Source organism: Homo sapiens, chromosome 8 (assembly GCF_000001405.40).
Source record: "Homo sapiens chromosome 8, GRCh38.p14 Primary Assembly".
Lineage (NCBI taxonomy): Eukaryota > Metazoa > Chordata > Mammalia > Primates > Hominidae > Homo > Homo sapiens.
Window position 1 is genome coordinate 22,328,077 of NC_000008.11, and position 14,668 is coordinate 22,342,744.

The window sequence follows — 14,668 nt, forward strand, 5'->3', positions numbered from 1 at the left end:
ACTTTTTAACTCTTACATATAAGTCACTGATTTGAGTTATACAAAGTGAGGTAAGGGTCCAGTTTTATTCTTTCGCATCTGGATATCTACTTGTCATAGCACCATTCGTTGAGAGAATTCCCCATTGAGAAATCTTGGCACCCTACTTGAAAATCAATTGTCATGGATGTTTGGGTTTATTTCTGGACTGCTAATTCTATTCCATTGGTCTGTGCATCTCATTTTATGCCAGTAACACACTGTTTTGATTATTGTTGCTTTGTAATAAGTTTTGAAATTGGAGAGTGTGAGTCTTCCAACTTTATTTTTCTTTTTCAGTATTGTTTTTGCTATTCAGTGCCCCCTTGGAATTGTATATGAATTTGAGAGAAGGTTTTTTTGTTTCTGCAAAAAAAGGCCATTGAAACTTTCATAGGGATTGTATTGAATATCTAGATTACTTTGAAGAGTATTGTCATCTTAACAATACTGTCTTCCAGCATATGGACACAGGATGTCTTTCTATTTATTTAGATCTTTTTAAATTTCTTTCAGCAGTGTTTTGTAGTTTCCATGTATAAGTCTTTACCTGTTTGGTTGAAGTTTATTCCTAGCTATTTTATTCTTTTGGATGCTATTGTAAATGGAATAGTTTTAATTTCATTTTTGGGTTGTTCATTGCTGGCATATAGAAACACAACTGTTTTTATGTGTTGATCATGTACCCTGTAACTTTTCTGAATGTGGTTATGAGCTCTAGTCGTTTTTTTTTTTTTTTTTTTAATTCTTTGGGATTTTCTAGATACAGAATAATGTCATTTGCTTATGGGAATGGAGTCTTCTTTCTTTTCAGTTTGAATTCTTTTTATTTCCTTTTCTTTCTTAATTTGCTTAGTTTATTTCCTTTTCTTCCTTAATTGTTATGGCTAGGATTTCTATTATGGTATTGAATAGCAGTGCTAAAATCAGGCATCTTTGTCTTTTTCCTGATAGTAGAGGCAAAGGTTTCAGTTTTTCACCATTGTATATGATGTTAGCTCTGAGTTTTTCATAAATTTCCTTTATCATGTTAAGAAAGTTTCTGCTCCTAATTTGCTGAGTATTTTTATAATGAAAGTGTGTTGGATTTTATCAGATGATTTTTCTGCATATTAACTTTTAACAGTCTTGTTCAGATTAATACCAAATTAATTTTAATAGTTGTGTCAGGCCATTCTTGCATTGCTGTAACAAGATACCTGAGACTGGATAATTTATAAAGAAAAGAGGTTTAATTGGCTCATGGTTCTGCAGGCTTTACACGAAGCATAATGCTGGCATCCACTCAGCTGCTAGGGAGGCCTCAGGAAGCTTACAGTCATGGTGGAAGGTGAAGCAGAAGCAGGCACTTCACATGGTGAAAGCAGGAGTAAATGAGAGAGAGAGAAAGTGAGAGAGAAGAAGAGGCGGTACACATTTTAAGTGACCAAATCTTTGTGTAAACTCAAAGCAAGAGCTCACTTATCACCAGGGGATGGCCCAAGCCATTCCTGAGGGATCTGCTCCTATAATCGAAACACCTCCCACCATGCCCCACCTCCAGTATTGGGAATTACATGTCAACATGAGATTTGGCAGGGACACACATTCAGACTGTAGCAATAGTATATAGAAACTTTGTTCCTGTATAGTTCTATTCTCTCCCACTTTCTTGGTGCTAATTCTGTATTAGCATTCCCCAGAGAAACTGGACTGATAGGGTGTGAGCATGTGTATAGATTTATTTTAACAAATAGGCTTACACAGTTATGGAGGCTGGCAAGTTCAAAATCTGCAGGATGAACCAATAGGCTGGAGACCCAGGGGATAGCTGATGTTGCAGGTCAGCTTTGAGTTTATCCTGCTTGGTGTCCCTTAGGCTTTGGGGATGTGTCCGTTAATGTTTTTCCTCAAATTTGGGAAATTTTTGTGTTAATTATTTACTCAGATATTCTTTTTGCCCCTTCCTCTTGTTCTTCTCCTTTTGAGACAGCAAATATTTATATGATGGTGTGTTTGTTGGTATCTCCCAGGTTTCAGAGGCTGTCTTCATTTTTCTTTCTTATTTCTTTTTCTTATACTGGATATAATCTCAACTGACATCGTTTCTGGTTTCCTAATTATTTCTTCTGCTTGCTCAAATCTGCTGTTAAGCACCTCTAGTAAATTTTTCATTGCAGTTACCATAGTTTCTCACTCCTGAATTTCTATTTGGTTCTTTCTTGTAATTTCTGTGCCTTTATTGATAGTCTTTATTTGGTGAGACACATTCTCATACTTTCGTTAAGGTCTTAAGACATGGTTTCCTTTAGTTCTTTGAACAATATTTAAAATAGTTGATATAGCCGGGCGTGGTGGCTCACGCCTATAATCCCAGTACTTTGGGAGGCCGAGGCGGGTGGATCACGAGGTCAGGGGTTCGAGACCAGCCTGACCAACATGGAGAAACCCCATCTCTACTAAAAATACACACATTAGCTGGGCGTAGTGGCGGGCACCTGTAATCCCAGCTACTCAGGAGGCTGAAGCAGGAGAACTGCTTGAACCTGGGAGGCGGAGGTTGCAGTGAGCCGAGATCATGCCACTGCACTCCAGCCTGGGCAACAGAGTGAGACTCTGTCTCAAAATAAATAAATAAATAAATAAATAAATAAATAAATAAATAAATAAAAATAGTTGATATAAAGACTGTCTATAGGACCACGTCTGGGCTTCCTCAAGGACAGTCTCTGTTGACTTTTTTTCCCCATGCATACGTGTCCTACTTTTCTATTTCTTGGCAAGCATCATAATTCTTTGTTGAAAACTGGAAATTTAAGCTGGGCACGAGGTGGCTCACGCCTGTAATCCCAGCACTTTGGGAGGCTGAGGCGGGTGGATCCCCTGAAGTCAGGAGTTCGAGACCAGCCTGGCCAACATGGTGAAACCCCGTCTCTACCAAAAATAGAAAAAATTAGCCTGGTGTGGTGGTGGACTCCTGTAATCCCAGCTACTAAGGAGGCTGAGGGAGGAGAATTGCTTGAACCCAGGAGGTGGAGGTTGCAGTGAGCCAAGATTGTGCCAATGCAGTCCAGCCTAAGCTACAGAGCGAGACTCTGTCTCAAAAAAATAAAAATAAAAAATAAAAAGTTCTGACCTACAGAGGATTCAGATAATTGATCAGACACATTTAAAAGTAACTTTTAGCCAAGGTAGGAGGATAGCTTGAGGCCAGGAGTCTGCAACCAGCCTGCTCAACATAGTGAGATCTCGTCTCTACAAAAAAGAAATTAAAATTTTTAATTTCTATTTTTTTTTGTTTTCTATTTTATTTTCTTTAATTTCTAAAGCCCGAGGAGTTCAAGGTTGCAGTGAGCCATGATCGCATTACTGCACTCCCTCTTTCAACAGAGCGAGACCCTGTTGCAAATAAAAATAAAAATGACTTTTACCTAAATTCTTCAAAGAGATGAAATACAACATTAAGAATTTTAACAAAGAATTAGAAAGCATGAAAAAAATTGGAATTTTTAGAAATGAAAACTACAGTAACTGAAATTAAACTCAGTACATGGGTGTATTAGTTTGCTACAAATGACATAACAAAGTACCAGCAACTGGCTTACACAACAGAAATTTATTTCCTCACAGTTTCGGAAGTCAGAAATCCAAGCTCAAAGAATTGGCAGAGTCGGTTTCTTTTGGGGGCCTTGGTCTTCCTTGTGTCTGTGTCCTCATCTCCTCTTCTTATGAGGACATCAGTCATATTGGATTAGGGCCCACCCCCATGACCTCATTTAACCTTAAGTACCTCTTTTAAGATCTTATGTGTAAAAAACAGTCACATTCTGAGGTACTGGGGGTTAGGACTTCAACATATGAATGTTGCGGAGGGCATAATTCATCCCCTAACAATGGATAACAGTAGCTTAGATATAGCTGAGGCTGGAAAGAGTCAACTGAAAGATAGGTGAGCAGAAAATAATCAAACTAGCCTGTAATCGCAGCATTTTGGGAGGCTGAGGCAGGTGGATCACTTATGAAGTCAGGTGTTCAAGACTGGCCAACATGGTGAAACCCCATCTCTACTAAAAATACAAAAATTAGCCAGGTGTGGTGCTGCGCCCCTGTAATCCCAGCTTCTCAGGAGGCTGAGTCACGAGAACAGCTTGAACCTGGGAGGCAGGCAGAGGTTATAGTGAGCTGAGATTGTGCCACTGCACTCCAGCCTGGGCTTACACAGTGAGACTCTGTCTCTCAAAAACAAAAATAAAAATAATCAAACTGTAACAGGCCAATAGATAGGAGGTTAAAATATAATATGTACATAAGAAGTGGCTCAGAAGGAGGTTAAAGAAGGCAGAAACATCTGAAAAGACGATGGTGAGGAATGTTCCAAAACTGTTAGAAGACCCCAAACCATAGATTCAGAAAGCCCAACACATCTCAAGCAGGATTTATAAAAAGAAAAGCACATCTAGGCACATTATAACACTGTTGAGGGTAAAGATAAATATATATATAGTAAGAACAGTCAAGGAAAAATTAAAAAGAGGTTCCTTCAAAGGATCAATATGGACTAATAGCTAACATCAAAATAAACAGCGTAAGCCACAAGATAATAATATAATAGCTACAAAGCACTAAAAGAAAGTAACTGCCAGCATAGCTTCAGTCTCATAGCCACTGAAAATAACTTTCACTAGTGAAGGTGAAAAAAGACATTGCATGGCAAATAAAAAATAGACTGTCACCAGCTGACTTACACTGAAGGAAAATATAAAAAGCATTATTCAGCTAGAAGGAACATGATCCCAGATAGAAGTTTAGAAATGGTTAAAGGAATAAGTAACAATATAAGTGACCATTATGAAGGTAAATTTAAATCTATTCCATCTAAAACAAGAAAAAAATGTCATGTGGCTATATATTTGTCTGTGCATATAATTTGAAATTTATGACAACAGTGCATATATCAGGAAGAAGTAAATGATGTCCTGATATTCATAGGTCTTTGAATTGTTGAGGAAAAGGTAAAAGTACTCATTTACGTTACACTTTGATATGCTATAGATGTTGTACTCTCTAGGGTAACTACGAAAGGAAGAATAAAAGAGTGTATAACTATCAAGATATGAGAGGAAAAAACAAAATAAATTTAATGTAAGAAGAATACAGGTAAATAAACAGGATCAACAGCAAGCAATACCTAAGTCTTGAAAACATGCTGTGTGAATGAAGCCAGTCACAAAAGATCACATGGAAGAAATGTTTCTGGGCTGGGCGCAGTGGCTCACGCCTGTAATCCCAGCACTTTGGGAGGCTGAGGAGGGCGGATCACCTGAGGTCAGGAGTTCGAGACCAGCCTGACCAACATGGAGAAACCCCATCTCTACTAAAAGTAACAAAATTAGCCAGGCATGGTGGCACATGCCTGTAATCCTAGCTAGTCGGGAGGCTGAGGCAGGAGAATCGCTTGAACCCGGGAGGCAGAGGTTGCGGTGAGCCAATATCACGCCATTCAACTCCAGCCTGGGCAACAAGAGCGAGACTCTGTCTCAAAAAACAAACAAAAAAAATGTTTCTGAACATTTATAAGAAATGTTCAGAACACGAACATCTATAGAAACCAGAAGGTTAGTGGTTGCCTGGGGCTGGGGTCGAGGAGGGAACTGGAGTATGGATAGGGTGATAATTACTCAAAAGTATGAGGTTTCTTTGTGAGGTGATGAAAATGTTATAAAATTGACTATGGTGGTGGTTACACATGTAGGAATATAATAAAAAACCTTAATTCGGTGAATTGTAGCATATGAATTATAGCTCAGATTCACAGAGGCAGATGATTAGTGGTTTCCAGAGAATAAGGAGGAAGGGCAAGAATGAGGAGGAACTACTAATGGGTACAGAGTTTTTTTGTGTTTTTTTTTTTTTGGAGACAGTTTTTTCACTCGTTGCCCAGGCTGGATGGAGTGCAGTGGTAGGATCTCAGCTCACTGCAACCTCCGCCTTGTGGGTTCAAGCAATTCTTGTGCCTCAGCCTCCTGAGTAGCTTGGATTACAGGCACCCACCACCACACCTGGGTAATTTTTTGTATTTTTAGTATAGATGGGGTTTCATCATGTTGGCCAGGCTAGTCTCGAACTCCTGACCTTAGGTGATCCACCTTCCTTGGCCTCCCAAAGTGCTGGAATTACAGGCGTGAGACACCACGCCTGGCCCTGGGTACAAGGTTCTTTTTGGGGTGATTATATACAAAATTTGGGGCCAGGTGGCTCACACCTATAGTGAAATCCCATCTCTACTAAAAATACAAAAATTAGCTGGGCATCATGGCGGGCGCCTATAGCCCCAGCTACTCGGGAGACTGAGGCAGGAGAATCGCTTGAACCTAGGAGGCGGAGGTTGCAGTGAGCCAAGATCTTGCCACTGCACTCCAGCCTGGGTGACAGTGAGAGTCCGTCTCAAAAAAAAAAAAAGAAAAGAAAATACAAAATTTGGTAATTTTGATAGGTACATGACTTTGTCAATACTAATGTATTTTTAGTAGAGACGGGGTTTCTCCATGTTGGTCAGGCTGTTGGGTCAAGTTGGGTCAAGCCCAACTGTCTCCAACTCCTGGGCTTAGGTGATTCTCTTACCTCAGCCTCCCAAAGCACTGGGATTACAGGTATAAGCTACTGTGCCTGGCAAGATTATTGTAAATTAAGATGTTAATTTTAGCCAGGTGCGGTGGCTCACACCTGTAATCCCAGCACTTTGGGAGGCCAAGGCAGGCAGATCATGAGGTCAGGAGTTCGAGACCAGCCTGGCCAACATAGTGAAACCTCATCTCTGCTAAAAATTCAAAAATTAGGTGGGCGTGGTGGCGGGCACCTGTAATCCCAGCTACTCAGGAGGCTGAGGCAGGGAAATCACTTGAACCCAGGAGATGGAGGTTGCAGCGAGCCAACATTGTGCCACTGCACTCTAGCCTGGGTGACAGAGTGAGACTCTTGTCTCAAAAAAAAAAAAAAAAAGTCAATTTTAATCCCCAAAAGGACCACTAAGAAAATAACTCCAAGATATATAGTAAAAAAGAGAATTATAACAGTAACTGGAAAATAGCTATTTAATACAAAATACAGAGTAATGGAAAAATAGAAGAATGACAAAGATGTAAGGGATAGAAGAACAAATAGCAAAAAGGTAGATGTAAAGATCACCTTATTAATAATTACATTAAGTGTAACTGAACTCAACACTCAAAAGATAGTGGTTGACAGTACAAATTCAAAGAAAAATGTGGTAGACGTGGTGGTCATGTCTGTAGTCCTATTTATTTTTTCTTGAGACAGGATCTCTGTTGCTCATGCTAGAGTGCAGTGGTGTGATCATACATAGCTCACTGCAGCCTCAAGCTCCTGGTCTCAAGCAATCTTTCTGCCTAGTATAGCTATACTGTAACCAAAAGAAATGAAATAGCTATATTAATATCAGACAAAATAGACTTTTTTTTTTTTTTTTTTTTTTGAGACGCAGTCTTGCTCTGTTGCTCAGGCTGGAGTGCAGTGGCATGATCTCGGCTCACTGCAGCGTCTGCCTCCTGGGTTCAAGTAATTCTGCTGCCTCGGCCTCCCGAATAGCTGGGATTACAGGTGTACACTACCACACCCAGCTAAATTTGTTGTTGTTGTTGTATTTTTAGTAGAGGCAGTGTTTCACCATGTTGGCCAGGCTAGTCTGGAACTTCTGGCTTCAAGTGATCCACCTGCCTCTGCCTCCCAAAGTGGTGGGATTACAGGCGTGAGCCACTGTGCCCGGCCTCAGACAAAACAGACTTTTAGATAACACTTGTAAGTAGAGACAAGGAGTGACATATTACAATAGCAAAAGAGTCAATCCATGAGAAAGACATAACAATTACAATATATGTGCACCTAACAGTAGAGACCCAAAAACAGAGGAAACAAAAACTAATATAATTAAAGGGAGAAATAGGCAATTCAGCAATAGTTTGAGACTTCAAAACTTTATTTTCAGTCTTAGATATAATAATTAGATGTAAGATCAACAAGGAAATGGAAGATTTGCACAACACTGTAGTCTGACTATACCTAACAGACATCTATAAAACACTCCACCCAGCAACCACATACACATTCTTCTTAATGTACGTGGCACTCTTCTCCATGATAGGCTATAAAACAAGGCTCAATACATTTAAAAATGACTTTAATCTTTCAAAATACATTCTCAACCCACAATAGAATGAAATTTGAAATAAAGGAAATTTGGGAAATTCACAAATACATGGAAATTAAACAAGACTGGCTCCAAAATAACCAGTGGCTCAAAGAAGAAATTAAAAGGAAATTAGGAAATACTTGGGAGATGACTGAAAACAAAAATACAACATATCAAAATTTATGGATGTAAGTAAAACAGTACTTAGAGGAAAATTTATTATAAACAACGTATTTTAAAATAAGAAGAATCTAAAAACAAACCAGCTTCCACCTTAAGGAACCAGAAAAGAACAACAGACTAAACCCAAAACAAGGAGAAGGAAGGAAATAATAGACATTAGAGAGCTGGGTGCAGTGGCTCATGCTTGTAGTTACAGGTACTCCGGAGGCTGCAGTGGGAGATCACTTGAGCCCAGGAGTTCAAGACCTGCTTGGGTAACATAGTGAGACCCTGTCTCTAAAAATAATATTAGTAGATATTAGAGCATAAATAAATGAAATGGAGACTAGAAAAACAATAGAATCAATGAAGCCAAAAGTTGGTTCTTTGAGGAGATAAAGTTGACAACCTTTAGTTTAGACCATTTATGAAAAATAGAAGAATCTGATAACTAAGATCAGGAATGAGAGCGGTAACATTGCCACTGACCTAACAGAAATACAGGGATTATAAGAGAATAATGTGAACAACTATGTACCAACAAATTAGATGCCCTAAATGGACACATCCCTGGAAATACAGAAAATACTGAAATTTCAGAATTAGACCTTATATTTAAATAAGAAACCAGTTTTGTTTTGCTTTGTTTTTACAAACTTCCCCCAAAATAGGAGGAACACTTCCCTCCTTATACTATGAAGTCAGTATTACTCTGATACCAAAGCCAAACAAAGCCATCTCAAGAAAACTGCAGAAGGATCCAGACTGGAAAAGAAGTAGAACAATGAAAAGAACTTACATTAGAAAATCCTGAAGAGTACACACACACACACAATTAGAGCTAATAAATGAGGGCAGCAAGGTTGAAGATACAAGATCAGTATATAATAATCAGTTGTATTTCTGTACACTAGAATGATCAATCCAAAAATGGAATTCAGAAAACAATTTATGATTGCATAAAAATAAGCTATGTAGGAAAAATTTTTAACAAAAAAGATACTAGGCCAGGCACAGTGGCACACACCTGTAATCCCAGCACTTTGGGAGGCTGAGGCGGGTGGATCACCTGAGGTCAGGAGTTTGGACCAGCCTGACTAACATGGTGAAACCCTGTCTCTACTAAATTAAAAAAAAAAAATAGCTGGGCGTGGTGGTGCATGCCTGTAATCCGAGGTACTTGGGAGATGAGACAGGAGAATAGCTTGTACCTGGGAGGCGGAGGTTGCAGTAAGCTGAGATTGTGCCATTGCACTCCAGCCTGGGCAATAAGAGCAAAACTCTGTCTCAAAAAAAAAATTAATAATAAATAAATAATAATACTAGACATACTGGAAATGACAGAGCATTGTTAAAGAAATTGAAGATCTAGGCCAGGCGCAGTGACTCGCACCTGTAATCCTAGCACTTTGGGAGGCTGAAGCAGGTGGATCACCTGAGGCTGGAGTTCGAGACCAGCCTCGCCAACATGGCAAAACCCCGTCTCTACTAAAAGTACAAGTATTAGCAGGGTGTGGTGGTGCATGCCTGTAATCCCAACTACTCGGGAGGCTGAGGAAGGAGAATTGCTTGAACCCAGGAGATGGAGGTTGCAGTGAGCCAAGATCATGCCACTGCTACAGCCTGTGTGACAAGAGCGAGACTCCATCTCAAAAAAAAAAAGAAATTGAAGATCTAAATAAAAGGAGAGACAACTCATGTTTATGGATTGGAAGACAATATTGTTAAGACGCAATATTGAGAAGATTGGGAAGGAGAAAAGAAAACTATCTTTGCAGTTTGTGTGATTATGTAGAAAATCCCAGGGAACCAACAACAACGACAACACAAACCTGCCAGAACTAGTAAGCAAGAATTGCAAGGTTGCAGGATACACAGTTATTACACAAAAGTCAATCACTTAAAAGTCAGTTCCTTTCCTGTGTGCTAGCAATGAACAATTGGAATTTGGAATTAAAAACATTAATGGCCAGGTGGGGTGGCTCACGCCTGTAATCTTAGCACTTTAGAAGACCGAGGTGGGCGGATCACCTGAGGTCAAGAGTTTGAGACCAGCCTGGCCAACATGGCAAAACCCCATCTCTACTAAAAACGCAAAAGAACAGCTGGGTGTGGTGGTGCGTGCCTGTAATCCCAGCTAATAGGGAGGCTGAGACAGGAGAATCACTTGAACCCAGGAGGCAGAGGTTGCTGTGAGCCAACATCACGTCACTGCACTCCAGCCTGGGTGACGGCGAGACTCCATCTCAAAAATAAATAAATAAATAAATAAATAAATAAATAACAACATTTATGCATTAGCAGAAAACAATGGAGTACTTTGGGTTTAACTCTCCAAATGTGAATCTACAAATGTAACAAGATCCATTGCAAAAGTAACATTTTTTTTTGCAGGAGTGGATAAGCAGATACTCAAATTCATATGGAAATGCAAAAACATAGAATAGTCAAGAACATCTTTAAAAAATACACTCACAGTTTCTAATTTCAGAACTTGTTACAGAGATAAACAAGACAGTGTGGTCAGTAGCATTGAGATAGACTCAAATCAGTGAAGTAAAAATGAGAGTCCAAAAATAAACCCATGGGCCTATGGCCGGTTAACTGATTTTCAGCAAGTTTGCCATTCGGTGGGGGAAAGAGTAATGTTTTCAAGAAATGGTACTGGGACTACTGGATATCCACATACACAAGAATGACATTGAAGCTCTTCTTTACACAGTATACAAAAAGTAACTCCAAATGGATCAAAGACCTAAATGTAAGAATTAAAACTATAAAACTGGCCAAGTGTGGTGGCTCATGCCTGTAATCCCAGCACTTTGGGAGGCCGAGGTGGGCAGATCACGAGATCAGGAGATGGAGACCATCCTGGGCAACATGGTGAAACCCCATCTCTACTAAAAATACAAAAAAATTAGCTGGGCGTGGTGGCCCGCGCCTGTAATCCCAGCTACTCAGGAGGCTGAGGCAGGAGAATCACTTGAACCAGGGAGTCGGAGGTTTTGGTGAGCCGAGATCACACCACTGCACTCCAGCCTGGTGACAGAGTGAGACTCCATCTCAAAAAAAAAACTATGCAACTGTAGACGGCAACATAGATGTAAATCTTTGTGACCATGTCTATTAATATTAGGCACCAGTTGATTAGATATGACGCTGGAAGCAAAAGCAGCCAAAGAAAAAATCGATTTGATGAAAATTAAAACCTTTTGTGCTTCAAAAGACACTATTAAGAAAGTTAAAAGACAACGCATAGAATGGGAGAAGTCATTCATCCGATACATATGGAAAGGCTCTAGTATCCAGAATATGCAAAGAAGTCTTACAACTCAAGAAAAACACAACCCAATTTTAAAATGGGCAAACATTTTGACTAGACATTTCTTCAAAGAGTGTATACAAATAGTAAACACATGAAAAGAAGCTAAATATCATTTGTCATTAGGGAATTGGGAATCAAAGCCATGAGATGCCACTTCACAGCAAAACCAGATAAAGACATTGCAAGAAAGGAAAACTACAGACCGATGTTTGTCATGCACATAGATGCAAAAATCTTCAACAAAACATTAGCAGAGTGAACCTAACTGTATAAAAAGAATTTTTTTTTTTTTTTTTTTTTTTTGAGAAGGAGTTTCACTCTTGTTGCCCAGGCTGAAGTGCAATGGTGCAATCTCAGCTCACCGCAACCTCCGCCTCCCGGGATCAAGTGATTCTCCTGCCTCAGCCTCCCAAGTAGCTGGGATTACAGACATGTGCCACCATGCCTGGCTAATTTTTTTTTGTATTTTTAGTAGAGACGGGGTTTCTCCGTGATGGTCAGGCTGGTCTTGAACTCCCGACCTCGGGTGATCTGCCTGCCTCGGCCTCCCGAAGTGCTGGAATTACAGGCGTGAGCCACCACGCCTGGCCTATAAAAAGAATTCTGCATTGAGACCATACTACGTTAAATAAAGCTTCTCCAGATTTATGTCCACCTGGAACCTGTGAATGTGACCATATTTGGAAGCAGGGTCTTTGTAGATGTAATCAAATTAAGATGAGGTAAGACCAGATTAGAGTGGGTCCTAAGCCAATGATGGGTATTACCTTAAGAAGACAGGGATAGGACACAGAGACATAGGGAGAACACCATTGAAGATGCAGACACAGACGGGAGAAGGCAACAGGAAGGAGGAGGCAGAGATTGGAAGAATGTATCTGCAAGCCAGAAACACCAAGGATTGAACCACCAGAAGCTTGAACAGACAAGGAAAGATTTTTTTTATTTTCTTTTTATTTCTTTTTTTTCTGAGACATAGAGTCTTTCTGTGTCACCCAGGCTGGAGTGCAGTGGCACGATCGTAGCTCACTACCTCCCAGGCTGAAGCAATTCTCCCACCTCCGCCTCCCAAGTAGCTGGGTCTACAGGAATGCGCCACCATTTCTGGCTAATTTTTTAATTTTTTTGTAAAGACAGGGTCTCACAGTGTTGCTTAAGCTGGTCTGGAACTCCCGAATTCAAGCAGTTCTCCCGCCTTGCCCTCCCAAAGTGCTGGGGTTATAGGCATGAACCACTGCACCCTAGCAAAGATTTGTTCATAGAGCCTTTAGAGGAAGCATGGCTCTGCTGATACCTTGGGAACCATCAGAGAATAAATCTTTGTTGTTTTGAGCCACCCAGTTCATGGTACTTTGTTACAGCAGCCCTAGGAAACTAGTGAAACAACCAAGTGGGTTTTATTCCGGTTATGCAAGGCTGGTTCAACAGTCAAAAATCAGTTAATGCAATCCATCCATCAACAGGCTAAAGAAGAAGAATCATATGACTACTTTAGTAGATGAAGAAAAATCATTTGACACTCATTCATGATTTAAAAAAAAAAAAAAGTCCAGGCGCGGTGGCTCACGCCTGTAATTCCGGCACTTTGGGAGGCTGAGGTGGGCGGATCACCTGAGGTCAGGAGTTCAAGACCAGCCTGACCAACATGGAGAAACCCCGTCTCTACTAAAAATACAAAATTAGCTGGGCATGGTGGTGCATACCTGTAATCCCAGCTACTCAGGAGGCTGAGGCAGGAGAATCGCTTAAACCTGGGAGGCGAAGGTTGCGGTGAACCAGGATTGTGCCATTGCACTCCAGCCTGGGCAACAACAGCGAAACTCCGTCTCAAAAAAAAAAAAAAAAAAGATTCCCAGCACGTTAGGAATAGAGGGGAACTTCATCAATTTGATTTTTAAAATCTACAAAAAAGCTACAGCTAACATACTCGTGAAAAACTAGATGCTTTCCCCCTAAGATAGATGCTATAAAGATACTCTTTATCACTACTATTAATCAGCTTCCTCCTGGAAGTCCTAGCTAATGCAGTAAGCAAAGGAAATTAAAGCCTTGAAGATTGGGAAGGAGAAAACAAAACTATCTTTGTTTGCAGATAGCATGATTGTCTATGTAGAAAATCCCAAGAAACCAACAACAAAAAACCCTGCTAGAACTAGTAAGTGAGAATTGCAAGGTTGTAGGATACACAGTTGTACAAAAGTCTATTGCTGTAAAAAAAAAAAAAAAAAAGGTGAATTTTGTTCCTGTGTACCAGCAGTGAACAATCGGAATTTGAAATTTTAGACAATAAATATTTGTGTCAGCAGAAAAAAATGGAGTACTTTGGTTTCAGCCTAACAAATTACATACAAGATGTACACATGGAAAACTACAAAACTGATGAAAAAAATCAAAGAATATCTTAAAAATGGAGAGAGATTCTGTGTTCATTGATAAGAAGACTCAATATCGTTAGGATATCAATTCTTCCCAAATTTGATTGCTAGATTCAATGCAATCTTACTCAAAATCCCAGCAAGTTATTTTGTGGATATCAACAAACTTGATTTTAAGGTTTAAGGATAGCCAACACAGTACTGCAGAGGTCTGATACTGCCTAGCTCAAAGACTTACTGTAAAAACTACGGTAATCAAGATTGTGTGGTATTGATGAAAAGACAGCCGGATAGATAAGTGGAACAGAATAGAAAGCCCAGAAATAGACACACACAAATATAGTCAAGTGATTTTTGATAAAGGAACAAAGGCAAGTCAGTGGAAAAACAATCTTTTCAAAAAATGGTGCTGGAACAAGTGGCCACCTGCATGCAAAAAACTCTATGCATAGACCATACACGTTTTGCAAAAATTAAAACAAATTATAGACCTATGTTTAAAATGCAAAACTCTAAAACTTACAGAAGATAACATAGAAAATCTAGGTGGCTTTGGGTTTGGTGATTACTTTTTAGATATGATGCCAAAAGCCCATGAAAGGA

The 14,668-nt window shown here is 39.8% G+C and overlaps 1 protein-coding gene across 4 annotated transcripts in view, besides 2 other annotated features; it reads left to right on the forward strand.

Moving 5' to 3' along the window:
* The window catches only part of PIWIL2 (piwi like RNA-mediated gene silencing 2), an 82,253-nt gene that overhangs the window by 52,761 nt on the left and 14,824 nt on the right, over nt 1-14,668 (forward strand). The window lies entirely within an intron of this gene.
* Nucleotides 10,873-11,042: an enhancer, noted in NCBI's record as "experimental_102872 CRE fragment used in MPRA reporter constructs". NCBI's record gives its function as "activates a minimal promoter by MPRAs in K562 erythroleukemia cells, with activity observed for both the introgressed and non-introgressed 8:22196547 variant alleles {active_cell/tissue: K562}" and the evidence as "EXISTENCE:reporter gene assay evidence [ECO:0000049][PMID:34662402]".
* Nucleotides 11,438-11,607: an enhancer, noted in NCBI's record as "experimental_102873 CRE fragment used in MPRA reporter constructs". NCBI's record gives its function as "activates a minimal promoter by MPRAs in K562 erythroleukemia cells, with activity observed for the introgressed 8:22197112 variant allele {active_cell/tissue: K562}" and the evidence as "EXISTENCE:reporter gene assay evidence [ECO:0000049][PMID:34662402]".